We start from the raw sequence: 27,622 nt of genomic DNA on the forward strand, positions 1-27,622 counted from the left end.
ATGACATGGTATTACATATTCTAAATATTTTTAGTGGCTGGGCGCGGTGGCTTACACCTATAATCCCAGCACTTTGGGAGGCCGAGGCAGGTGGATCACTTGAGGTCAGGAGTTCCAGTCGAGCCTGGCCACGTTACGGTGAAACCCCATCTCTACTAAAACAAAAATTAGCCGGGCTTGGTGGCGGGTGCCCATAGTCCCAGCGACTCAGGAGGCTGAGGCTGGAGAATCGCTTGAACCCAGGAGGCGGAGATTGCAGTGGGCTGAGATTGTGCCACTGCTCTCCAGCCTGGGCCACGGAGGGAGACTCTGTCTCAAATATATATATATATATATATATATAGCCTTCCAGAAACTTTACATTTAATTTATTCTCAAAATAAAAACTTAACTTCTTGCCTAGAGTCCAAGTTTGTTAAAGTCTCACTTTCTTTTGTTTGAATCTAACTAGAAGTTTCTGAAAGGCCACCAAGTATGATGAATTTGTGACACCAGGGTATCTAATACCAGAGTGGCTTGCCATTCAGCTAGAATACACTGCATGATTTTTTTCCTGTCTAGTACAAACCATGCTGGCAAGCCATATGGACCTGACAGTTTGCCTATTTTAAAATTTAAAAAGAAAAGATTCAAAAGATGACACAAGGGAAGTACAAATGTTCTCTGTCTTAGAAGCAGAAACCACGAGAAAGGTACACCATGGTTCACTGTTTAACAATTACAGCTCAGAAAGCTTTTGTTCAGCGTGGCCTGCCTTCTAGGCACACCTCTAAAACTCGTTAGGTACAGCAACTCATGTGAGATTGCTTTATAAACCCAGAAGACTCTGAGGTGTGCAGGAAGTAGAAGGAACAGATGGCAGATGGGATCTAATCGCCTTCGATCCTTTGGGATGAGCAAATCCGACAGGGCAGCTGTCATCCAAAGCATCGGCTGATAGTCACCTCTGTCTCCAACACAGCAGAGGGCACACAGCTAGAGCTCAGTAACTACTCACTAAATGAATGAATGGTGCTCATTGTTTTTTCCTACAGCATAAAATCCAAAATTGTCAAAGAAGGAAAAAAGGTGGTTCTTGGTCAGTTTTAAAATTAGTCACACAGTTGATTACAGGGAGCCTAGGCAAAGGTCAACTCAAGGATCATCCTCTTTCTCCAAGGGCACTTAGAATATTGCTGAAAAAATTAGTCGCAAGCCAACTTGTGCATTAGGAACAAGCACAATCAAAAATAGAGACTTCTCACAGAACGGAAGCCTCGCTGGGCTTTGTAGAACTGAATTAATAATGACTTTACCTTTATAGTTGGTTTTTCTGGACTCATGTCCACATTAGTATCCTTCAAAAGTCTGAACTCCTAATTTTAAAATGAGTGATTAAATTCCAGTATCCTGTTCATACTCAGAAAAAGAATTTATATTCTTTCAAATAATCTGCACCATTTCTAAAACGGGGCTGAGCAGAGAATTCTCTATAGGGATGACAGTCCGCACGCCACACTTACCTTCAATAACTGTTCATAAATGTGAGCAAGTGGTAAATATGAAATGTGTGTGTCACTGGCACTCAAGGGAAGTGCTTTCTGTAAAACACAACAACTTAGCAGAACATACACAAACAAGCAAGGAAAACAAAATTAAATGCCTACCTCTACAACTCTCTCAAACATATGGGCGAGAGGCAAGAAAGATATCAAAGTATCATCTGGGCAAGGATTGACTGTATTCTGTAAGCAAAGACACCAGCAAGGCAGAAAAGCATTAAGACTCCCAGTGAAGGGGAACATCGCACACCAGGGACGGTTGTGGGGTAGGGGGAGGGGGGAGGGATAGCATTAGGAGATATACCTAATGCTAAATGACAAGTTTATGGGTGCAGCACACCAGCATGGCACATGTACACATATGTAACACACCTGCACGTTGTGCACATGCACCCTAAAACTTAAAGTATAATAATAATAAAATTAAAAAAAAAAGACTCCGAGTAAACTTCCATTTTATTTCTGAGCACATAGTACCTCAACACTGAGGAGAAACGGCTTTTGCTTATGGTCTGCAATTTCTTCTCACCAAAGAATAAAATGAAAAACAAGGGGCATGGTGGCTCACGCCTGTAATCCCAGCACTTTGGGAGGCCAAGGCAGGCAGATCACTTGAGGTCAGGAGTTCAAGACCAGCCTGGCCAACATGGTAAAACCCCATCCCTACTAAAAATACAAAAATTAGCCAGACATGGTGGCACATGCCTGTAATTCCAGCTACTCAGGAGGCTGAGGCAGCAGAATTGCTTGAATCAGGGAGGCGGAGGCTGCAGTAAGCCGAGATTGCACCACTGCACTCCAGCCTGGGCAACAGAGTGAGACTCTGAATCAAAAAAAAAAGCAATACTTTAATTATTCAAACAAAGTGGAAGTCACTCCCCATGACAAAGTAAATCCACTTCAGGGCTTTAATCAAAACAAGGAAAATTTTGCTCAAATTGGAAGGTTAAGGGATTATATGCTCTAATCAGTTAGTATTTCATCACTACAGTATCCTAGTACCCAGCAAGTTCAATTTTACCTTAAGAAATACAGGACCCATTTCAACATAAAATTGCATTTTATGTTGTTAAGGGAAAGGAGGAAAGAAGATAAAAGAAGGTGGATTTCCAAGGTCCTTAGAGTATTTTGAGTTTGATCAATATTTTTAATACCTTAAAGCCCTACTTTACATATCACAATTTGTTTAATGCAACCTCAGATCTGGCACCCAGGAATTTGCTCTCCTATAAAATGCTGATCATGATGGGTCCACAGACAGATTAAGTTTGGACATCTGGTTTCCCTCAGAATGGGCCTTACTTAGGGCAGGCACAGTGAGGGTTTGTATAGAATATTCATGTTATTAACATAAAGAATTCTGGCCAAAACAGGGGGTGTGCAAGAGCAGCTGCTGTCATACCAACTAAGAAATGAGGGCATTGTCGTTACCTAGGGGATGATATACCAAGTTCTGAGCCATGCCCCTTCCTTTCCTAAAGCTGGGTCACCCTTAATAATAATGTGACAATGGATGAAAGCATCAATCCTGAGCAAACACAGCAGCCCCAGAAGCACTGGATGTGGGCTGAGCATGCTATAATCTCAGCTGGATTTTATTCAAGTCTGACAGGCATCCCAAGTAGTACTTCTCAGGATGAAATTGTTATATTAATATAATGAGAAATCGGACTCCATTCTATCTATACTTTTCAACTTTCTGACTCAGAACAAAAATATTGTCCATTATCATGATTAGACATCTTACAAAGCTGAGAAGATACTGATATTGTAATTGATTTGATATTGTAACTGACTTTAAACAAAGTTCTGTAATCATTTGCCTCAATGAGCCACCAATGCATTTTAAGTTTTGTTTGAAGGCCAATTAGGAAATTAAAATTTCACTTTGGTAAGGTACTAAATGTTGAACTCTGTTTAGAAAGTATACATCTTTAAAAAGGGCATTTGGAAAGTGTGAGCCAAGTAAAGTAAGTGGCAAGATCCCTCAAAGATCAGTTTTCTGCAGCCACCAAACATGTCCATTCCCCAAAGCCATTAAGCTCAGGCTCCTGCTACAAAAATCAGAGCTACAGAATACTTCCAAAGAGACTGCAAAAGCCAATTATGTTAAATGTAAAAAAGAGTATAAGGAAAAGGCATATGGTTCAATAAGCACCTTTTTAAAAGGCAAGTTTGGAATAGGCTGTTGGTGTTATGGACTGAATCACATCACCCCCTTCTAAATTCGTATGTCAACATCCTAACTCCCAATGTAGATGGGGCCCTGCTGTGACTGGATAGACTAAGACACTGGATAGTAAACTTTAAAAGCATGGGAAATTAGCTGAAGTGCAAGGCTTTACTACTTCTAGTGCAATGGAAGTCACACTGACCACAACAGATAATAATCATTCAAAAACTTTTAACATATCATTGCCAATTTAAAATAAATTATTTCCCAAATACAGGGACGCTGGATAAAAACACAAGAGAGTCCATCTCTTCTCTGTCCTTTCTTGGACATGTTTCTAGGGCAATATCCAAATAGAGTTTCTCTATATAAATGTTGCAGTGAACTTCATCTGTCAATTCACCTTAATTATCATAAGGCAAGGGTTGGCGATTAGGTTCAAAGTGAAAAAAGAGAGAAGGTGGACTTGGGCCTAAAGTTCTGACCTTACCCATATGTCACATCGTTTCTAAATGCCACATGGACCTAACACACTGGTGCCCACCTTCAGCACTTTCATTCTCAAGGACTAATGTCAATCAATGAGGAAAGATGACGACATCCCAAAAAGTTACCTCTGTTGCTTTCACAAAAGCTGAACAATCGCTCACTATGTTTCGGTGAGTGACCATTGCTCCTTTGGGGTTGCCTGTGGAGCACATATGAAGCAGAACAAAGTTAAAGAATGACAGAAATGAAGGAGGCCCAGAAACCTCACATAATTAGGGCTTCAGACACCTCTACTGTTAGATATATCGTGAAAACCAAATGTTGAACACTAAATTCCTAAGCAACCTGCAATCCTTACACTGACTTATCTTTAAAAACCTTTATTAATATGGGCACATTTTAAAGGGTATATACGTAGTCATAAGAGAAGAAAAACCAGAAATTTTCTTCCTGGGAGCCACCGATATAGTCTGTCCTAGGAAGACAGGTGAATCTAATATCACCCTCAATAAATGTTTGAGGAATTATCCGGCACTCTTGGACTCTGAGAAGATCTTACAGAGCAACAAGAAGACAGCACTTGAACCGCTTCCTTCTCTTCTGCTTTTGGTCCGTCTACTGTTAGCTGATAAGTCATCCAAAAGAGGTAGGGGAGAGTCCAGACCAATGGCTGCCATATGTAGAAGCAATTCTATCTCAAAACTCACCTGTAGTTCCACTTGTGAAACAAATTACTGCAAGATCTTCAGGTGCTGGAGGCTAAAGATTAAAAAAAAAAAAAGCTGGTATAAATCAGAACAGAAAAGAGAACTATAAGCCACAAGGTACCAGGCTAGATATTGAAAACTACAAAGAGGACAGAGCAGGGTCTGACACGGTGTGCTTACCTTGGGCTTCCGTCTGTTGGCTCTTCCCAGGTCCTTAATTAGAAGAGAAAAAAAGTCTTAAATGGAAACGTTTTCTAACTGTAAAGGATAAGGTCACATCGAGTCACTTAAAGCTGGCTTTACTGTGGGGTTCATTCACACCTGGCTCGAAAACAGCATAATTTTCTAATTAAAGAAACTATGGCAGTTTTAATTAACCAGAACCAAAATATTTATTCATTGTTCTGAGAAGCCATTTTCCAGTTACCTCTTCTCTTACATAAAACTACATAAACGGTATTAGGACTGGTCTTTGAAATAGGATGTATTAAAAAAACAGCAGCCAAAGTCTTTACCATGCATTTCTGGTCCCCACTTCCACTTCTTATTAGGGCCTTTAATAAAGCCCTGTTCTTAACCATAACGAGATACTGCAGATACTTCGTAGGTTCCTCAAATCAGAGCACAGCACTACCTCACCCCCACATTCTGCACAACTGACATCTGCAATCTGGGAAGAAGAAAAATCAATCTCTGCTCGATTGAAATGCTAGGCATTTTGGAGAGGCTCAAATATCTGCTCAAATATCTCCCCTCGTAGAGTGGAGATAGGATTTGGGAGCCCCCAATTATAAAACAGGCCACAGCAGACCCTCTAAGACTCCTTCCTGAATGGACTTGAAGGTTAAGAATGACAGAAGCATTGCGCGGGGACAGCATTTCCCAGCGGCAGGCTTCCAGTCACTACCACTGATGGGGTTCGGTTTACTGCATTAGGGCAGTCTTGGTGGCCACTTTAATATCTATTAATTTTAACAAATGAACTATTTATATTCTTTTCCTATTCAAATGGAACAGCTTGAATGAGGATATGGAATGAACATGCCATTGAACACGCCATTGAACATGTTCAATTCACGTGGAAATTAGATGGGTGTGCTCAGGGCTTAGTGAGTTTCTGCCCAGCATACATTAAGTTTTCAATCTTAATTACATTTTAAATGATGTAGTGACAGACCACCGATTAAGAACAGGAACTAATATATCCAATTAGAGGTCAGCCAAAAGCTAAAGCAATAATTCTGTACATTTTTTTCAAAATAACCTTTATTAGCTCCAGATTTCTATTTGTCTATTAAAAATTCTTACATAACTTCTGGAGATGCCCAATTCTTCAAAAACTGATGTTAAATAAAATAAAGCACCAGTTACATACAATTTGGCTCTTAATTTATTGGGAACAAACATTATCCAAATTAGTGCACTGTTGCCGCAAAAGTTTCACAGCCTTACATCTCTCTTACAGTATCACTTAGGAAAAATACTGCAATTATTATTATTTTTTGAGATGGAGTCTCGCTCTGTCACCCAGGCTGCAGTGCAGTGGGGCGATCTCTTCACCTTTTGCTCAGAATATTTTTAAAAACTAAGTACAGATCATATTAAACAGGTAAGTGTAAAACAATGTCTTCTATAAATTAATATTTTAATATAAACTTTATATTATAATCTTCAATCAACTAAATAATTTTTAAATTTCAACATTACTTCTTTATCATACAGCAGTCAAAAAACACCAGAAAAATTCTTGCATCTGTGGGAAGGTAAGGGAAAAAGAGATTACATTATAGTAAAAGAGGGTTAAAAGTAAAAAAACAGAAGTGGGGAAACACTAGGTAAGAAGCTATAAAACCCCAATTCAACAAGGAAGCACCCGGGTCAGCACTTGCGGAATCACGTTCGATGCTACTGAGAGAGAGAGTTGGGCAGGGGCGCACACATGCACAAGAGAGAAGGTTCTGTTAGAACACCCGCGCTTCCCTGTGCCTACTGGGTTCCTCAGGAAAGGTTCTACAGATCCTTACTTATAGCCTCAAATTCTTTGTAGGAGGAGGAAAACTACACATAAAAATTTAAAATCCTATCTATAACAGTTTCAGAAAAATATTTCTAACACCTTCAGAAAGAGAAGGACTGACTCTGTTTTCCTATGACTTGTTATGATATGTATATGAAAAGATCTTCCTCCGGCCATGTTCCTTGGATGGAACTCTAATCCAAGTCCAACTGACGGGGATCAACTTCTTATATCATCTGACATCAAGCACCCAAGCTGAGCATGGACCACCACGCTCATTCTCCTGGAATGGCTGCCTTTAAACTTGTGATTGGTATGACTCTTAAGAGTCAATATGAAAACAAACCAAATCAAACATGCATGTTGGAAATTCACCAAGACTCTCCACGAGCCATCCAGGGAAAAGAACGATGAGGCTGATTTCTATACTTGGCTTGGCATTAGAGACAAATTAGTAAGTAAAAGGCATTAAAGCCCAAAGGAGACACAGAAACTGAAAGTTCCACCTGCCTGAAGCTGTAATTCCCATTTCTGGCATTTCCGGGCACAGCTTGTCAGTGCTCTGGAATAAATATTGGAGTGCTGAAAGCACTTGGGTAAGGTGTGAGGTGTTAACACTGGGCACACATGTAGAATCCTTTTTCCAGCAATGAGACAGAAGTTTCTGCTCTCTTTCATGGGTTGCGGAGGCAACCGGCCAGCGCTGGGACTGCACCATAGCACTAGATAGCACTGGATAGCACGTGTGAGCCAACACGGCCCCAGGGAAAGCCTTCAGAGAAGGGAAGGAGGCAGGGCACTCACCTCCATCGCCTTCATGCTGGTGACTTCCACCCCACACCTCTGGCCTCGTTCCACCAGTTCACTGCCGTAGGCATCCATGACAACTATGATTTTAAGGCCTGGTATTAACTTATTTTCTACACCCTCTAATAAGAGTTTGGCCTTCTCTGGCTTGTCAACAAAAACCAGAGAGAGTTCAGCTGTAAATGAAGAGATACAATGAAGAATAAGCTCTGGGATGTTAAAAGATTCACTCTGTCATATCCAGCACAAGGATACTTGAAGTACTACATTCTTTGAATAAAAAGGTAGATATATATTTACATGTAAAATCTTTGTCAAATCAAATGTAAGCAAATGTAAAGTCACTGAACCTAACCAATAACTATGCCAATAATCCAGGCAAAGATCACAGACGTACCTTTGTTGACTATGTACGTGATGGCTTCATTTCCAAGGGTATCATAAAGTGGAACGATCACCATCGAATAAGCAAAGCATCCTTGTTCAATAATCACCCACTAAACAAACAGTAAAGGTCAGGGAGAGAAAACAGGATGTCATCATGTAATCAATAAGGAGAACAATACTCAAGAGAGATTCAAAGTGAAAACATTTGACGCAGCAAAATTAACATCTGTGTTAGCTACTACTCTGTGCCAGGTGCTATAAGGGATTCAGAATGAGAACAAAACACATGCCCCCTTCTTAAAAAGAAATTAAGGCCAGGCACACTGACTCACACCAGTGATCCCAGCACTTTGGGAGGCCAAGGTTGGGGGAATCAGTTGAGCCCAGGAGTTCAAGACCAGCCTGGGAAACATGGCAAAACCCTGCCTCTACAAAAGTTATCTGGACATGGTGGCACACACCATGTCGCAGCTACTTGAGAGGCTGAGGCGGGAGGATTGCTTGAACCCAGGAGGTTGAGGCTGCAGTGAGCTGTGATCACACCAGTGCACTCCAGCCTGGGTGACAGAGTGAGATCCTGTATGTATGTATGTATGCATGTACAAAGAGAGGGAGGGAGGGAGGGAAGGAAGGAAAGAGAGAGAGAGAAAGAAAGATGAGAGGACAGAGAGAGAAAGAGGAGAGATTGAGAAAGAAAAGAAAAAAGGAAGGAAAGGAAAGGAGAGAAAGAGAGAAAGAAAGATAAATTAAAATCCGCCTGAAGAATTGAGGCAAATATGTTAAAAGATAATTAGCAATAATTATCAGACAGGGACTGACCCAGAGATAAGAAAGCCCACCATCGGCCAAGGTAGCTACAGATGCTACTGGGAGGGTGTAACTGAGATTGCCTTTGGAAAGAGAAAGAAAGAGAGAGAGAGAGACAGAGACAGAGGGAGGCAGGGAGATGCTAACAGAGGGGATGGCAGGATCAAAAGCAGGGGTAGTGAGAGCGATCTGACTGGCACAGATGGTTCTGGCTGGAGAGCACGGAGCAGCCACTGAGAGTTTCTCAGCAAAACAGCGGCTGTGGGGCTCAAGGAAGACCCCTCTGGCAGCAGGGCACTGTATGCCCTGGAATAGGGGAAGAAGTACCTTGTCTAGCAGCAAAACTGTTTTGATAAAATCCCTCTAGAAAAGTGCAGGAAAGAAGTGAGACAATAACTGGCCACACTGCCACATGCAAGATGCAGTAAGATGTGTCTGAAGGCACTGGCCACATAGCCACTGCCCTACCTACTGGACAAAGGTGAAAGATCACTCTTTCACTACCATACCCAGGGGTACCCCACTGCCTCCGGCTGCACCTTTCTAATGAAATCATCTGCAGAACTCTGACACACAGGACAGAAAAAGGCACAGCCGGGGGAAGGGGGCACAACCCACTCACATCCACTTGGCCTGGAACTAGGCTTCTGAGTTTCGGTTTTTTCCCAGAAGGAATTTTCAGCCAACAACATAGAAATCAGGTCCCAGCTCCTTAGGCACATGTGACGCATGAGGAAGGCTGTCTTTCCTGCCACTCCACCACATGAAAATGCTCCACTCCCAGACACAGGTGTGAACGTGGGCATTCCCTTGGCCTCCCCGCCCCTATTTCCTTCAAGATTCTACTCAGGTGCCACCTCCAGGGAGCCCTCCTTGACTGAGCTCCCATAATCCTTCTGCCCTGCGCCCACACTTACCACTTGACAGAGAAAGCACCGGTGTTTAGGTCTGTCTTGCCTTACGTGGTACCTCAGGAAGAGAGGCCGAGTCACTGTGCTTTGGCACCCCAACACAGTGTCTGACATATAGTGGGTGCTCAGCAAACATTTGTTGAATGAACTCATAAATACAGGAAGGAACCTATTTCTTATTTGTTTTGCAGTTCTAGATTCATGATAAAATTCCATCAAAACAAACATTTTGATGTGTTCATTTGGGATGAAAAAAACTAAATTCTACAAGCCCAGTCACAGTCCAGCTGTGGAGAATGCTGTTTTCCCCTTGAAAGACCACAAAACTCTAAGAAGCCATCTTTATTTATATAAAAAAAAAAAAGTCAGTAGCACAGGGATTGAGTCAGCATGTCTTCTGGACACAAGCAGGTATAAGAATAAATTCGATTTCTTCAAGCCAGATGCTTCCATTTTTCTAAGCCAGCTAGATCTACTAATCTATTGAGTCATACCATAAGCAATACTTCCAAAAGAGCTGCTCATTTAAACTCAGTTTCTGATATGTTTTGGCTGTGTCCCCACCCAAATCTCAACTTGAATTGTATCTCCCAGAATTCCCACGTGTTGTGGGAGGGACCCTGGGGGAGGTAATTGAATCATGGGGGCTGGTCTTTCCCATGCTATTTTTGTGATAGTAAGTTTCATGAGATCTGATGGGTTTATCAGGGGTTTCTGCTTTTGCTTCTTCCGCATTTTCTCTTGCCGCCACCATGTAAGAAGTGCCTTTCACCTCCTGCCATGATTCTGAGGCCCCCCCAGCCATGTGAAACTGCAAGTCCAATTAAACCTCTTTTTGTTCCCAGTCTCAGGTATGTCTTTATCAGCAGCATGAAAATGGACTAACACACTTTTACACACTGGTTTACAGAAACCGTGCTGGGCTTAGACCACCAATGACAGACTGCCCAAAGGAAGGCTGGCTAGCAGTGAGTACTGTCCCCATCACCCATGGTATTTTAAACTCTAGAAACCAACCAGAGGGAAAGCCTCATACCTTTCAGAAAGGAAAAAAAGGAACCTGCTATTGACAAAAATGTATCTGAGTCTCTCTATAACTTATTAATGCCATTTTTCTAACCACAGAGGTGACTCTTAAAGTAAAAAGACTCCTTTGTTAGTTATCTGTTCTAAGGATTTTATTTGGGAACCTGGTTTAAAAAAACTAAAATAATCCCCCCAAAAAAGTGATTTCTTTTTTCTCTTAAAGGCGATTAAAAGGCCCTGGTTCAGGTTTTCCTTTCTTTTTTTTTTTTTTTGAGACGGAGTTTCGCTCTTGTTGCCCAGGCTGGAGTGCAATGGCACAATCTTGGCTCACCGCAACCTCTGCCTCCCGGATTCAAGCGATTCTCCTGCCTCAGCCTCCCGAGTAGCTGGGATTACAGATGTGTGCCACCAGGCCTGGCTAATTTTGTATTTTTAGTAGAGATGGGGTTTCTCCATGTTGGTCAGGCTGGTCTGGAACTCCCGACCTCTGGTGACCCACCCGCCTTGGCCTCACAAAGTGCTGGGATTACAGGCGTGAGCCACTGTGCCCAGCGGCCCTGGTTGAGGTTTTCATATGTGTAACTTTCTAAGGTGTAACGTAAAGCTATACTTTTAGTAGAAATCAGACTACAAAATCTGGTCTCTAGCAGAAGTTAGGCTCTTATATCTGAGAATTCTCAAAATCATGCATAGCAAGTACCTACTGGTTCATACCTCAGGTCTATTTTGAGCAAAGATGCCAATGAACTGATCTGGGGCAGTCTTGAAGCCCTTCTGGATCAGTGCTGAGCCTATGCACTCCGACAATTCTGCAACCTAAAATGGAGAGGAAAAAGTCAGAAGCAGCATTGGGCCCCAACTCCAGAAACAAAGCTGACCAGACGGCAGGCTTGTATCTCAGCCAGCAAGCAATGCTGCACACAGAAACGGAGAGGGAACATGCAGGTATTCCTTTATTGATAGATTTTTTGGTAAAACACAAGGTTTTATTCACAAGAAATCAGAATTAAGAGAACTGACCGCAGGGTTCCTTCTGCAAAGAAAATTAATCTTATCCCAATGGCTGCAGGTCACAGACAATTATATGGCAGGGCTATTTATACATTTTTTTCTATTTTAGTTTTATACAATTTTAAAAATGATAGAGAGATGGATTTGTTTTATTTATAAAGCAGCCAAAACTTGTTTATTTGGTATAAACACAGAAACAGCAACTTTTGAGAGACCTATAAAAAATAAGAGCAAGCTCTTATCCTTAAGTTCTACAGTTCCATTCTTGAGAACGTATTCTTAGGAAACAATTCAAACTCAGGAGGAGGTTTTTAAAAGCCTACATACAGGCCAGGCACGGTGGTTCACGCCTATAATCCCAGCACTTTGGGAGGCCGAGGCAGGCAGATCACTTGAGGGAGTTCGAGGCCAGCCTGGCCAACATGGTAAAACCCCGTCTCTACTGAAAATAAAAAATTAGCCAGGCATGGTGGCGTGAAACTGTAATCCCAGCTACTCAGGAGGCTGAGGCAGAATTGCTTGAACCCAGGAGGCGGAGTCTGCAGTGCACTGAGATCACCCCACCGCACTCCAGCCTGGGTGACAGGCGAGACTCCATCTCAAAAAAAAAAAAAAAAAAAAAAAAGCCTACATATAAACAATATGCAAATATTTCAAAATTATTGCATCAAAAATCTCTAGGGTAAAAAACCTAATCATGGCTGGATGATTAAGTAAATGATGGTAAATCACTAAGAAAATGCTACATAGTAAATATTATAATTATGAAAACTATCAAACTTAGGACAATATTACAATGATAAGCAACACATGTAAATATAAAAATGCATATTATAATAACTAAGTAAAAATTGATAGGTTTGCAAAATTCAGCAGGGTTATCCTATCCTCTCCCTGTTCCTACCCCAAATAAACTAAAATTTTTAAAAAATCTTAAACTTTGCAGTTATTTTCTTTTCCTTTTTCTTTTCTTTGTTTCTTTCTTTTTTTTTCTTTTTGAGACATAGTCTCACTCTGTTGCCCAAGCTGGAGTACAAGGGCATGGTCTTGGCTCACTGCAACTTCCTCCTCACGGGTTCAAGAAATTCTCCCTGCCTCAGCCTCCAGAATAGCTGGGATTACAGGCACCTGCCACCACACTCAGCTGATTTTTGTATTTTTCAGTAAAGACAGGGTTTTGCCATGTTGGCCAGGCTGGTCTTGAACTCCTGACCTCAGGTGATCTGCCCCCGTCGGCCTCCCAAAGTGCTGGGATTATAGGCGTGAGCCATACCGTGCCTGGCCTGGAGTTATTTTCTTTATTCTCAGTTCGCAAATTCTCAAGAGTACTCTTAAAGCACACCCATACCCATAGGAAATAAGACCATACCTACTCCTGGCCTGGAACCCTACTGGTTCTGGGCCTTGGCACCATCCTGGCCCTGCCTATGGGGAACAGACTGATCGTGGTAAGGTGACAATAGGATGACACAAACAGGCTCATTACTACTCTCTCCTTCACAGACGAGTTCAAAAGTCTTGGTTGCATTTAAGGAATCAGAGCCTGAGAAAAGCCTGCAATTGGATGCTATACAGCTGGTAAATATGATTGAATAATACACGCACATTTATATTTCTAGATCGGTCATACATTCTTAAAAAAAAAAAAACAACCCTTTAAGGCATTCCTAGCCACCAAAAGGTCATATTCATTGGATGACTGAAAAAAAAAAAAAGATTTGAATGTACAAATCCAAAGTTGGCTTCAGTTTTGTATCTTCACCTGCTTCCAAATGAAGTGTGCAAGTCATAGATTCACACCTTCAGAAACCCCAGTGATTTTCAATCTGCCTTGAAAACGCCTATCTGCAATGGACGTGTCTTCTCTCTTCCAGCCACTAAACAACAGAAGTAACCCAGGAGGCACAGAGGATTCCATGATGCCTCAGGACCATCACACACAACACACACATGTTCAACACACACAGGCTGTTCTTACACTTGTGAAAATGAGGGATCCTGGAAACTACTATTTGTGCAAGAAACTACTATTTGGCTCTGACAGGACAGAATAAAAATGGGAAATCCTTCCAATCATGTGAGATACTGCCCCTAGCTCCTTCTACAGGGGAGGTGTGAGAAGTTGCTTCCCCTTCTCTTGAGAGACAGATGAACACCTCTCAAGCAAAGCCTTCTGCATCCTGTCGACCCCAGAGGACGGACGGGGAGAAATCATGCACTTCAGTCTGAGAAGAACCAACAAGCACTACTGCAGGAGTGTGGCTCCGAGGCTGCAGAGAACGATCCCTTCCACAGACGCACCCCAAATACACCAGCTCCTAAGCTGCCCTTCACACAAAACCCAGAAGGAGGAAGTGCATTTGTATTCATGAATCCGCATGATTACCTGCCCCGAGAGCAGGAGAAGGGGGGCCAGGGACGGGAGCCTTTCCTGGACAGCTGTGTGGAAGCAGCAGGCAGCAGAGCTGGCCTGTCTGGAGCACGTGCCTGTTCCGGGGTGCCGTGTGGACTGGGGAAGAGCTGTGGCACCCACATTCATTGTAATCATGATAAAAATAAAAATAAACAGCAACGTCTTCCTGCACTGCTACTGCCACTCATGAGCCGCTGTTTCAACAGCTGTAGCCGTTGATGGGTGGGGACTAGAGACCGACAAGGGCCACCATACTCAGATCCCAGCTTCCTTTGTGCTTATACAGTAACACAAGTGCCTTCCCCGAACATCTGTGTTCCTCCCTACAGCTGCCTGGGGGTAAGTGTCACACAGGTGGTGAGTTGGCCAAGGACAGCTTTGAGGGTCAGCAGCATGCACTAGGAAAGCCTACACAAGAGGCTGCAGGCCTTGCTTCTGGTCCTGGTTCTGCCACTAACCAGCTATAACCTTGGGTGAGTCACCTCTTTTCCTGAGACAGGTCCTCCTCATCTGTGAAATGAAGATGTATTCCCACGTTCCAGCTTCTGAGTTTTTCTAGTACCCCTCAAGTGGAGAGAAATAATGCTATGCCGCCAGGGGGACCGGGAGAGTTTCTAGAATTTTATCTTAAAAATTATACTTGACTTCACAATGTATCCACATCAGCTTTGAAATACAATGCTTTGAACCACCTGTTAAATTCCTTAACTTGTTCTCCCCAAACCTTTGTGTCAAGTTTCTCCTTGGATGCCCCATGCTTACGGCAAGGCTCTGAGCTGGTCCAGCACATACACTCTGGAGAAACCTTCCGGCTCCAAGAATGCACATACAGAAGCACCCCTGCTTGCAAGAGGAGTCCACAGAGCCTGTCTCATACAAACTCACCTGTTTATATGAAAGCCATTCATAGGGTTGGTCTGGTTTCCGAGAGCCTAAACAAGGGCCATTATCTAAAAAAAGAGAAAAAACAACAGATGGGCTGAACGTACATAAATATTCCTAGATTTTAATTTGTATCCCAACCGCACTCTAATACTAAACATCAGCTAGACTCTACTTTAGTCCTCAGATAAGAAATGGTGGCTTCAGATTGGAAATGTTTTCTCCCTCAGTTTTGGTCTGATTTTTTCTTTGCTTGTTTATTTCTGTTTTGTTTAAGTGGGGCAGGAGAGGGGGACAGAGGGGAGAAAAGGCAATATCCAACTCTTAAGGGCACTTAATTTGTGATTCCTCTTTAACACCCTACTGGTTTAGACCAGGAGTCAGCAGATGAGTGGTAAAGAGAACCTGCTGTAGTGGTAAACAGATACCTTTTCAGAAGAGGTATTCATCAAAACTTTTCAAGAAGTCTAAAGCATTCTAATTCAGAATACGGAAAGGAAAATATAATTCTTTATGTGTCCAAATTTTGATGACCAAAGGTATCAAGAATTACCTGGAATCCTAGTTACATGGGTGAAGTCATGATTGCAGAAAAACAAAAACAAAGAAAAGATGCAAAATGAGGTGACGTGAAGCGGTATCTGGGAAGCAAAAGTTAGGAAATACCGAGATGTTTCCCGATTCCTATTCAGGTTTCAAAGAAGCAAAAGGGGACCATAGTGCATCTGGCTTTAGCATATTAGGTCTGAGTGTTCGTGAGGAGGCTCTGATTTGACATGAGGACCTAAGGAAGTAGGATGGAAGGCAGGGCTGGCCCCATCACACAGATCATGCCCCAGACAACGGCAGTGTGCTGCACATGCAGATTCAGGAATCAGCCACGTGGCTGAGGAGGACACAGGCTGGACACACTGACTTCTTTGCCATCCCTAAAAACAGTCCTGATGAAAACAGGAAGAGCTATTCTCGGACCCTCTCCCATTTACAGAGACTGTAACAAGCACCATACAAGATGAGTCCAATCAGATGTTGCTTCCAGATGGGAAAAAAATTGCATTAGCCATATGAAATGATGCGATTTTATTCCTCAAAAACAGAGACGGGCGCACTGCAGCCAAGGGCCAAATCAGGCCCACTGGCTGTTTTTGTAGACACAGTGATAGTGGCACACAGCCACACTCATTCATTTTTGTTCTGTGTGAGGCTGCAGTTGAGTAGTTGCAACCAAGACCATATGGCACCAAAGCCAAAAATATTTACTACCAGGCTTTTTACAGAAAACATATGCCAGCTCCAGCTCCAGAACTAGCCGTTAAGCTGCAGGCTCACCAGGGGAACTTGATACTATACCAGGTTCTACTATACCCAGGCTCTAGAATTTTTTATTCAGTTGAATAGGGATGGGGCCTGGGCCTCAGTATTTTTTAGAAGCTCCCCGATGGCACAAAAGTGCAGCTAGAGATGAGAGCCACTGAGAAGCAGGGAGCTCAATCTTTATAAATGGCTTCCTTGGTGCAGTTTTAAAGTACTAGGTTTAAAAACTCTAGGCGGGCTGCTTCTATCATTCAACAAACTTCTGACCCCTTATCCAAGTGCTGGGTCTTGCTCTTTTGTTTCAGTTTAATTCTACAGTAGCCTAAGAAAATCAAAGCTTAGAATAAAAAGATCCTCCTGGGCGGGGGCGGGGGGGGGGGGGGGAAGGAAGCAAATCGAGACCTGCAAAGCAGCTCCCTTCAATGAGTACAGATCAAGAAGACTGGACATACTTTCCTTCACCTTCTCTGACACATCCATAAAAGGACTTTCATTTTCCAGGGGGAGCAAGCGACCAAAGAAAAGTTATGTGACTTGTCTTCAGATCAGAGGAGAGTCAAAAGCATAAAGTAAGTCACCATGCTCCTCGATGAATGTATATACATTTACATGTATACAGCAGGTCCTCAAATAACGGCATTTCATTTGCACGTTCTCCTCACATCTATGTGGTTTTTCCTGGGAACTCTGGGTTCCTCCCACATCCCAAAGCTGTGCCTGTGAGGTGAACTGGTGCATCTCTACGGTCCTAGTGAGTGTGGGTGAGCGGAGTGAGTGTGTGAGTGTGAGTGGGTGTGAGTATGAGTCTCCCTACGATGGGAGGGTGTCCTGGCCAGGGCAGTTCCCACCTGACATCCTGAGCTGCCCAGATGGGCTCCAGCCGCCCACGACCCTTAACTGGAATAAACAGGTAAATATCTTATTTTTATCAATTGTTCCTAAATGTCTGTATCGCTCACATTTATTTCATGTTTAACATAAGAAGCGTGGTCTTTATTTAGAAGTTTGGTGATGTTTTTGTGACTAGAAATACGCTGTGGGAATGTAACTCCTGTTCGTATCAATTAGCCTATGGGAAAAACTGGTTTCATTATAGTGGTTTTCAAGTTACAGTTTCCAAGAACCCATCAAAGACATTAACTGAGGACTTACCGTATATGTGCTCTGTGGTGGTGGCAAAGCACACACACACACACACACACACACACACACACACACACACTGTTTCATGTGCCATATGTTAGGCTGATCCACCTGATGGATATTTACTATCACAGACAAACCCTGACCTTGACACCAACTTTGAGAATGTTCATAAATTAAATAATACACAAGTAAGCTTGCTTTTCCTTTGTAATAGGGCTTAATGCACGTGCTATGGGAACACTGGGACAAACTCGCCAAGCTGAGACATCCAATGTTACCAGTGTCAAGTAAAAAACAATAGGCACTTTCTTTTTTTTTTTTTTTTTTTGAGACGGAGTCTCGCTGTGTCACCCAGGCTGGAGTACAATGGTGCAATCCTGGCTCACTGCAACCTCCACCTCTCCGGTTCAAGCGATTCTCCTGCCTCAGCCTCCTGAGTAGCGGGGGTTACAGACATGCACCACCATGCCCAGCTAACTTTTGTATTTTTAGTAGAGACGGAGTTTCACCATGTTGGTCAGGCTGGTCTCGAACTCCTGACCTCGTGACCTGCCCGCCTTGGCCTCCCAAAGTGCTGGGATTACAGGTGTGAGCCACCATGCCCGGCCAATAGGCACTTCTTGAGTGCATATTACATGCAACCTATCATGAGGGATAGAGCCAGCAATACCACATGGTTCCTGACCGTAAAAAGATTACAATGTAGCTAGCAGTGGCCCAAATAAAAGCTAAGCATCAGAGGATTTAAATAACAAAGCACAGATTCCAAGACCATTTTTAGACAAGTACCTGGTATAAGCAAAAATGAAGTGGCTAAAATAGAAAGAGGGGTGGAGAAACCAGAGGTACTCCCTCCTTCACTGAGGATGCATTAGTGGGGCGCTCACTGTGTGCCAGGCACTGTCAGTGCTGTGAAAAGAGATGACTGATAACCACCCTGTTCTCAAGGAGCTCGGGCTAGGGGGGCAGAATGCCAGGTGAACACCTCTGTGCCATCAGGAGTTATGCAGAAGGAATATAACATGCTGGGAGGGAAAAGGGAAGAAATGCTTCACTCAGAGGTAGGGGATGAAAATGATAGACTAGGAAGGTTTTAGAGAAAAGGTGAAATGCAGTGAGTTTTGTAAGATTAAAGAATACATCAAGCACCCAGGCTGGGGGTAGAAAGAGGCTTTATGATCAAGAAAAAAAAGTGCATGGCCGGGCATGGTGACTCGCGCCTGTAATTCCAGCACTTTGGGAGGCCGAGGTGGGTGGATCACCTGAGATTAGGAGTTTGAGACCAGCCTGACCAACATGGAGAAACCCCATCTCTATTAAAAAATACAAAATTAGCTGGGCGTGGTGGTGCATGCCTGTAATCCCAGCTACTCAGGAGGCTGAGGCAGGAGAATCACTTGAACCCAGGAGGTGTAGGCTGCGGTGAGCCAAGATCATGCCATTGCACTCCAGCCTGGGCAACAAGAGCAAAACTCCGTCCAAAGAAAAAAAAAAGTGCACAAGTCTGGGCATGGTGGCTCACACCTGTAGTCCCAGTGCTTTGGGAGGCTGAGGCAGGAGACTCACTTGAGGTCAGAAGTTTGAGTCCAGCCTGGGCAACATAGCAAGACCCCATTTCTAAAAAGCAAAATAGAACTGCACAAAGCCTCAGGGCTGGGAGAGAGCAGAGGTAGTCGTGGCTCTGCAGGAAGTTCAGTATGACCTGAGGGCCCTATACAGGAGGCCTGGGAGGGACAGAGGCTGGAAAGGAGGTATGCTGGATATCACAGGGTTTCTTACACTACAGTTAATAATTAAGGGTAATCCCATGAGCCAACATTTCCCAAGTATCTTTAACAGAACACTGCCATCCTGGGATGTCAGTATTTCTTTCTCAAAATATGGGTCTCATGGTCAAGTAAGCATGAAAAATGCCGGATTGGGCCCAGTTCAACAGACCTCTTTATTGCAGGAAACGTCAGAGCCTATTGTGCACTGGTGTAACATGTGACTCACCATAAAATACAGGATGTGACACTCACATATTTGACCATGGAGCCCCCAGGGCCACAGGGAACATCTAGAGGGTCCAGTGAGCTTTGGGACCGACTCTGGGAAAGTTACAGTGGACACAGAGGGGCCTGAGCGATCCTAAGGAGGCGAAAGATAGGAGCAAATGTGCATTTCTGAAAGGCCACTCGTTCTTCATGAAACACGGCGAGCGGGAGCCACGCAAATGCAGGAAAATGCTTACTTGACACCTGTATTCCCCTCTGGAAACCTTCGTATAATGTTGTGACATCATCATAGAAATACACCAAGGGCTCGTCGCTGTCAAGTAGTGCGGATCTTCGTGCACCACCACTACCCTATCAAAAAAGAAAGGGGGGCAGGTTAGAAGGCAGTGAAACATCTATGCACTGTGGAATGGCTAAATCAAGCTAATTAACATATCCATTCCTTTACATTCTTGTCACTTATCTGTAGTGAGAACACTTAAAATCTATTCTCTTAGTAATTTCAGGTATATGGTACATTGTTATTAACTACAGTCACCAACTAATAGTGAACATGGTCACCATTTTTATTAAAAATAGATGTCCTGAACTCGTTCCTATTATACACCATAAATACACATAATTTGTATTTGTCCATTAAAAAATAAAATGCTTAAAAATTAAATATAAAGTCTAATATGCCCCTGTGGTATCCGCACCCCTCTAGGCGGCCACCTGCGGAACAGCTGCCCAGTGAGTGAGTGCTGAAAGACTGCAGTGCAAGATGTGCTGATGTAAACCAATCATTCGCCTGGAGGTAAACACAGGCTTCGGGGAACCACGGCTAAGTCAGAAAGATGCCTGAAGAGAGAAAACAGGTTTACAGACCTACAAGTGCTGGTCCTGCCGGATAAGGCCAAAGAGAGCAAGAGAAGAGCCACAAACTGCCACCACTACACACATTGACAGTTCTCAAGCCACTGCCATCCACAGCACAGAGGACTGATCCTGTTCAGCTCTGGTGGAAATGAAACCCCATTTGGTTATACTTCTAAAATGTTACCTATATTCTTTTTGAGACTATTTCCACTATTTTATCTCCTCACCAAGCGCAATATCATCTGTTAGAAACTTCACTTTCTTGCATAGCATCTCTAACAGTTAAAATCATCAGCTACAAAACATATGCATGTGCAGACACAGGTCTTTATTAGTTTTAGGTGCAACATTTATAGGTGTGCAGATTTGACATCGCTGTGCACCTTTCTCTAAGTCGTCTTCATCTGTTAGCTTCCTGAGTATATTTGCTATGTGCAAGAACTCCTAATGATGGATAAGGCGGCAGGGCCTAGCCTCCCACAGTAGCAGCAGTAGTCTTTACAGGTAGCAGGTCTCCAATGTGAGCTGCTGAGTCCTCTGGGGCCAAAGGACACTGTAAGGCATCCAGACATCCACAGAAAGCCAAAAAGCAGTCTTTAGAGACTGATAAATAAAAGCTCAGTGACTATGACGTTAGAGCCTACCTTTTTTTTTTTTTTTAATTTCAGAGAGGGGCCTTCACTTTTACAACAGTCTGGAAACCCTTGGAGAAATTAGACTGTGATATGATAACCTCTGGTACCAAGAGGAGAGAGCTGTCCAAAAGTGGAAGAGATCGTTTCTGGCTTAAGGTGTGATGAAACAAAACAGGAGACACCAAAAAGAAGTGTGGAAAAGCTAGGTCTCAGAGTAGGGCGGCAGGCTGAGGAGGGCCGCGCTGAGGAGGAAGTGGATGGGTGCCAGGGGATGAACTCACAGGGAGACCCTTTAGAAGGGGATGACTGCCTGATCTGTTTCCATGGACTCTTCTATTTTTATTAGGATTATCCATTTCTCTTCCTACAAGCTCTTTTGCTTTTTGTCCACCCTTAAGTTATAATGTATATACTGTTTAAAAACATTTAAGTGATACAGAAGTATATCAAGGAAAAATGATGACTATTAGTAGTTTGGTAAATTCCTCCCAGTCTTTTTTTTATGCTTATACATTTATAGACATTCTGTCAATATCTACTGTGTGCTACATGTGTGTATTTCACTCTTGATCCCAAACTGCTAATAGTTTTCTGGAGTAAATATGACCTAACCATATCTTTTAATCATCACAATGTCTTCTCTCTCGGCAGAAACTTTCTAACACCTATGGCTGTGATTCCAAACATGCTTACTAACTACAGCACACTACTTTATGAAGCAAAAACGTTATTCTCTGTGTGCATAAGAATGGGAGAATATCTTTGCTTAGTGTCACGCATTATTGTTACTTAATCGCTGAGTCTGTTTTCTTTTCTGTAAAATGGAGACATCATGAGTCCACTTCCAGGGTTATTTTTTGTTAAAGAGGAACTTTCCTGTAAAATATGATTGTGTAGAATATTACTTGTGCACCCGATAACATGCTCTAACTACAGTACAAGTCCTCCATCACCTCAGTCTTGACTCCAACAAATAGCCTGAAATTCAGAAGCAATTTTGTGGCTTTGTAGTGAATATCAGAAGCCTTTTCAACCCATGAAGCCACCAAACACACCGAAGGCACCAAGGCTAAGGTAGGAAGAGAAAGGGGGAAAGGACAAAATGAGAGAAAACAGGAAGAATGAGTGGGTGTGAAAAGAGATAAGAAAAGTACCAAGTATGATGGTGAAGTGTGGTTGTCTCAGCATGGCCTAGACATGCAGGTGGCCTGGCCGCCCACAGGGAGGTCCTCACGATGCTCTGCTTACAAAGGTGCCTTCTATACCTCTTGACACAACAGAAATGCATTCATGGTCTTTTTCAGTGCTCTCTCTTCAAAAGCAACACCACTTTCTGCACTCTGCAGAGGAGTTCCCCTAGCTGTGAATGGGCAGATGGGGATAAGGTGAACAAGACACAAGCTTGTTCTGAAGGAGCCCACGTCTTGTCTCTAAGTGACCACAGGGACTCCAGGGAACCCTGGCTGAGCAGAAGAGTGCAGGGAGAGTCAGGATGAACAGACAGAAGCAAGCCTGAAATCTCAGGTGCACAGGCTCATTCTAGAGCCAAGCTTCTCAAAGTGTGCTCTGCGGAACACCTGGCACTGGTTAGGAAAGCAAATCACACCAGACCTGCTGAATCCGAAACTCTGGGGATGCGATCCAGCAATCTGTGCTTTAAGAAGCCCTCCAGGGGATGCTAAAGTTTGAGAAGCACCTTCCTAGGGACAGCAGGTTTCCAGCAGGGAAGTTTTCAGCAGGGAAGTGGTGAGGATGGGCTAATGGGTTAGAAAGAAATCTACAAGAAGCGTAAGCAGTGTGTGGAACAGGAGGGAGGGAAGAGACTGGGGAGAAACCAACTCCTACAGACCTGGATAGGGCAGTGGGAGTTGGGAGCCGGGAAGGACCAAGGCACTGGGCGTGCTGCAGCACTCAGGAACAGGATTTAACAGGTAATGGGGTGTAAGCAGAAAGAAGGAGGGCTGAGAAGAAAAACTGTCCCCTTTAATCAAATAGAAGACTGGGTACTGGGGGTAGGCTTCAGAAAAGAGATGAAGTTTAGCTTTGGACATACAGAGACCATATCCCTTCAAGACAGGTCAACCACCTTGGTCAATGTCCCAAATTTTATTTTGAGAACCACTGCTCTGGAGGACCATTTTATAACAAACTTTTAGCTAAATAATTTTTTAGTTAGGTTTAAGTTTTTGGTGGTGTATAATCTTCTGGAATCCGAGAAACATGGAGGCAAACAAGCTAAATCAAAGTTAAAGAAGTGAATGATATCCCCAATAAAGCAACATCTTGACATGTAACCTGGGGCAAGATATTTATTATTACCCTAATTAGCAATTAGAATAATGAGAAAAGCTTGAAAATGAAGCAGTAAATGAGACATCTGTCAAAAGGAGACACTAATTGAAGGCTCGATGATACGGGATAAAAGGTCACACTGTCACTCAGTTGTCAGACATAACTGTAATTTCAAGAAAGGGGGTTGAATAAGAAGGGGAAGGGCACAAAACATTAGGATCTGTGCTTCAAAATCTGTGGCTCTATGAAAAGACCACACATTCTAATAATGAATTATTTTTTTTTCCCGAAACAGGGGCAGGCTCTGTCGCCCAGGCTAGAGTTCAGTGGCATTATCAGAGCTCACTGCCGTCTCAACCGTCTGACTGAGCTCAAGCAATCCTCGCACTTAGCCTCCTGAGTAGCTGAAACCACAGACACGTGCCACCTTGCTTGGCTAATCTGTTTATTATTTGTAGAGGCAAGGTCTCACTATGTTGCCCAGGCTGGTCTCAAACTCCTGGGCTCAAGGGATCCTTCCGCCTAGGCCTCCCAAAGTATTGGGATGACAGGTGTGAGCCACTGCGCCTGGCCCAGTGTTGCTATTTTTTGAACAGAAATGCTATATTTAAAAAAGGGTGTTAGCAACCTTAGTTATATCTACACAAGCAAGGGGTTGCAAGCTGAGTGCTGGGAAGCAAAGCTGTAACAATTGGAGTCTGAAATGCTTGTAGGTTTTACAAGACAGAATCACTTCAAAAGCTGGGGACTTAAATACTATATTAGGTAAGTCCACGTAGCTATTTCTAGGGACGCCTATTTAAATGAAAAATAGCTTAAATTTGGCCCTTACGGCCTTCTGACATAACCTACTGATCAGCAGGCAGTGTGTGTGGGTCGCTTGGGCTCAAGAAACAGGGCAAGCAAAGCAGACAACCCCAGCTGAATGTGTAGGAAATCAGTCATGAGCCAGTGAGTCAGCAGGCTTTAGGAGTCTTTTATTCCTCCTGCTATAGACCTCTTTAATGTGGTTACATAGTGTTCCCAGTTAAAAAAAAAAAAAAAAAAGATAGTGAGTCAAACCCACTACAGTGAAATCGGTGGTCATGAGTATATTCCGCAACATCTCTACAAGCTCAGGTTCCTCCTGAGGTCAGTCTCCCCACAAGGGCTGAATTAGGAAACAAGTTCAAGTCCCCCTTGGGGGCAGGAAGGGCAGGAAAACCGTGAACATCTGCATATCAAAGGTTTCCGAGGCCAGAACTCTCACCAATATTTGACTAACAGGAACGCGATGGCCAGTTATTTTGTGCCACTCTCCTATTTAAGTGCAAAAGCAAATGATGCCGTTGAGGATTTCTTAGGGGTAGAGAAGCCCAAGCTTTACCACTCATAGACTCATTCATCTCCATCTCCAAATGGGCATCTGCCAGCCATAGCAGTTAAATGCCCCTTGTGTTGCTACTGTTTATGCAGGAGAGGGATAGGGAGGTGGACGCAGGGCGAAAGTGAGAAGGGAGAGTGAGAGAGAGGAGGGCAAGGAGTAGAAGGGGGAGAGGCAGAGCCAAGTAACTTCTAAAGAGACTGCCAAAGACGTGGCTGGGTTCTAATGCGGGATCCATCTCTAGGGTGCAAAGGAGCATGTAGAACCACAGTCCGGGGGTAAAAATGATTCCTTTTTGTTCCTTCTAATACCTAACATGTGGTCTATACAGCTGTTCCCCTTCAGGATACCCAAATCCAGATGCTCAAGTCCCTGATATAAAATGGCATAGTATTTGCATATAACCTATGCACATCTTTCTGTATACTCTAAATGGTCTCTATATTACTCACAATACCTAATATGATGTAAATAAGTAGCTGTTATACCGTATTGTTCAGGGAATAATGACAAGGAAAAAATGTCTGGCAATGTTCAATAGACAATACCATCCATTTATTTCCATGGAATATTTTTAATCCACGGATACAGAGCGCCAACCGCGTCCTTCTCAGCATTTACATTTTACACGCATCTTAGCCTGCTCAGAACTCCATCATGTGCTTCTTTTTGTAAAGACACAAAACTACTTTTCCATCCAGTGACCTTTCAGAGAGGAACTCTGGCCATCAATTCTCATATCTAGCAGACTACATCTTTGATATATTACACTAGGTCTTTTAAAGGCCAGCCCCTGGGCAACTCCCCCTCCACAATAATTTCTAAATGACAATGGACAGATATTTTTAAAATTCCCAGATTCCCCCCAATACAGTGAACTGTAAATGTCACAAGGTAACAATGAGGCCTCACGCTCACTATTCGTACTCACTACTGAACTAGCTGACTTCCCAAGATCCTTTCCTCCCAGCTGAGCACAGAAGGGCAGAACTATCCTGACACTGGCATGCAGGAAAGATGGGAGGTGAGTGAATGTGTATGGAGCCTGCTAAAGGCCAGCCCCTCTCCAGATGAGGAAGCTCAGACTTGGGGGGGCTGCTTCCCTTCTCAGTCCCATGTCCACCACATAGTGGAGCAGAGCTTCGAACCTAGCTCAATGAGACATCCAGGTACGTCAAGGTTTGCTTGGCGGTTCACAGGCAGGTCCCAAACATGCCCACACCTCCTTCGTCTGTGTGTGGAGACATCCTTCATCCTTGAGGAGGCGGGGTCCAGGTCACCTGTGCCTGGCTGGGTTTTCTGATTTTTCAACACTTGCTCCTAACCCTCAGAACCTTTTTTCTTTTCATTCCTAGTCCATCTCCAGTTTCCAACTTCCCGGCTCCCCACTATCCCAGAGGATTTGCTGAAGAGGGACGGGGGTAGGGGTAGGAGGCTGACACGGTACTTCGCAAAACATCTCATCACCAGAAAAAAAATCAGCTGACCACAAACCCGCCTCAATGAAAGGGAAGAAAATTTGAAGTCACAATGTCCAAATTCCTACAAATACACATTGTTCCAGAAAATAGGACTGCCCGTAGAAATTTACATGCCAACCATTTGAATATACAAGGCATCTGCTTCACTTCTGCCTAGTTCAAAGGGAGCCACATTCCCATCTACTACCTTTGGTCAGCTTTTGGACAATGGGTGCTGAAGGTGTTTTGTCAAGAAACACAGCCTACGCTGGTCATTTTTCATTTGGCACCAGTTGGTTCCATCTGGCTATTTTTAAACATAAGTAAATATTACAGCACGCATTTCCGTCCTTTATGCGTTTCTGTCATCAAACACGTTCTCTGTTTAATGAAGCCTGTGAGAAGCGACATCATTTGTACAAAATCAAATTGTGTTTTCAGACCTGCTTTATCATATTCCCTACGTATCTGTAGTGACCTTTAGCTTTTTCTTCCTGGGTAAAGAGAGCCCGGAAATAGTTTTTTAAATATAACAATCAACCTCTTTCTTTCTTTAAATTCCTAAGCCAGGCACTTAATACTCCTGTGGCCTGGTCTTGGCATAAAGATCAGAAACTCTGCCTTCAGTTCTCACCCTGCAGGCCACCCCACCCAACCACCACTGCTCATTACCAGCTCTAACACTTTTCCCACCTAATTCAGCCACCTAAAAGCGTCCCTAAGTCAGCAGACAGGTCTTACAGTCTCTTAGAAAGCAACTCAATTGTTTCCTGTAATGTAGATTTGTAAGAAAATGTAATTTAGCAAGGTTTTTCATAACTTGTTATTAAGAAGCTCATTAAGTTTTAGAAAAGGTGCTGAAGTTACCTCAAGGCATGAAAATGCTGATGTTTGCACCCTGCCAGAATAACATTTCTAAATAAAAACACCCCCTCTAAGCATAGTCTCTCCATCCCAGCTATGCTGGTTAATACTGAGTGTCAACTTGATTAGATCGAAGGATATGAAGTATTGATCCTGGATGTGTCTGTTGAGGGTGTTGCCAAAGGAGATTAACATTTGAGTCAGTGGGCTGGGAAAGGCAGACCCACCCTTAATCTGGGTGGGCACAATCTAATCAGCTGCCAGCATGGCCAAAATTAAAAGCAGGCAGAGGAATTTGAAAAGACTAGACTGGCTTAGCCTCCCAGCCTACATCTTTCTCCCGTGCTGGATGCTTCCTGCCCTCGAACATCAGACTCCAAGTCCTTCAGCGTTGGGACTCGGACTGGCTTTCTTGCTCCTCAGTTTGCAGATGGCCTACTTTGGGTCCTTTTGATGGTGTGAGTTAATGCTCCTTAATAAACTCCTATATATCCATCCTATTAGCTCTGTCCCTCTAGAGAA

At 43.4% G+C, this 27,622-nt stretch overlaps 1 protein-coding gene across 28 annotated transcripts in view, besides 1 other annotated feature; it reads right to left on the reverse strand.

The window, feature by feature from the left end:
- ACSL1 (acyl-CoA synthetase long chain family member 1) overlaps nucleotides 1-27,622 on the reverse strand; it is a 71,000-nt gene that overhangs the window by 13,158 nt on the left and 30,220 nt on the right. For 12 of the 28 annotated variants that reach the window (NR_167703.1, XM_017007887.2, NM_001995.5 and 9 more), the window contains 9 exons: nucleotides 19,865-19,979; nucleotides 15,175-15,239; nucleotides 11,580-11,681; nucleotides 8,132-8,231; nucleotides 7,732-7,910; nucleotides 5,091-5,123; nucleotides 4,911-4,962; nucleotides 4,329-4,402; nucleotides 1,647-1,724 (listed from right to left, as the gene is read on the reverse strand). Coding sequence is in view for 20 of the 28 variants with exons in the window: in XM_017007887.2 (XP_016863376.1) it covers nucleotides 1,647-1,724; nucleotides 4,329-4,402; nucleotides 4,911-4,962; nucleotides 5,091-5,123; nucleotides 7,732-7,910; nucleotides 8,132-8,231; nucleotides 11,580-11,681; nucleotides 15,175-15,239; nucleotides 19,865-19,979 (798 nt within the window). In the remaining 8 variants the exon portion in view is untranslated. Of the gene's footprint in view, nucleotides 1-1,502; nucleotides 1,581-1,646; nucleotides 1,725-4,328; nucleotides 4,403-4,910; nucleotides 4,963-5,090; nucleotides 5,124-6,617; nucleotides 6,664-7,731; nucleotides 7,911-8,131; nucleotides 8,232-11,569; nucleotides 11,682-15,174; nucleotides 15,240-19,626; nucleotides 19,762-19,864; nucleotides 19,980-27,622 lie in introns of all 28 variants that reach the window. The other 16 variants (NR_167702.1, NM_001381884.1, NM_001381885.1 and 13 more) reach the window with 6 other exon arrangements.
- Nucleotides 14,185-14,404: an enhancer, noted in NCBI's record as "active region_22233". NCBI's record gives its function as "activates an Ori minimal core promoter by ATAC-STARR-seq in GM12878 lymphoblastoid cells {active_cell/tissue: GM12878}" and the evidence as "EXISTENCE:reporter gene assay evidence [ECO:0000049][PMID:35858748]".

Source organism: Homo sapiens, chromosome 4 (assembly GCF_000001405.40).
Source record: "Homo sapiens chromosome 4, GRCh38.p14 Primary Assembly".
Lineage (NCBI taxonomy): Eukaryota > Metazoa > Chordata > Mammalia > Primates > Hominidae > Homo > Homo sapiens.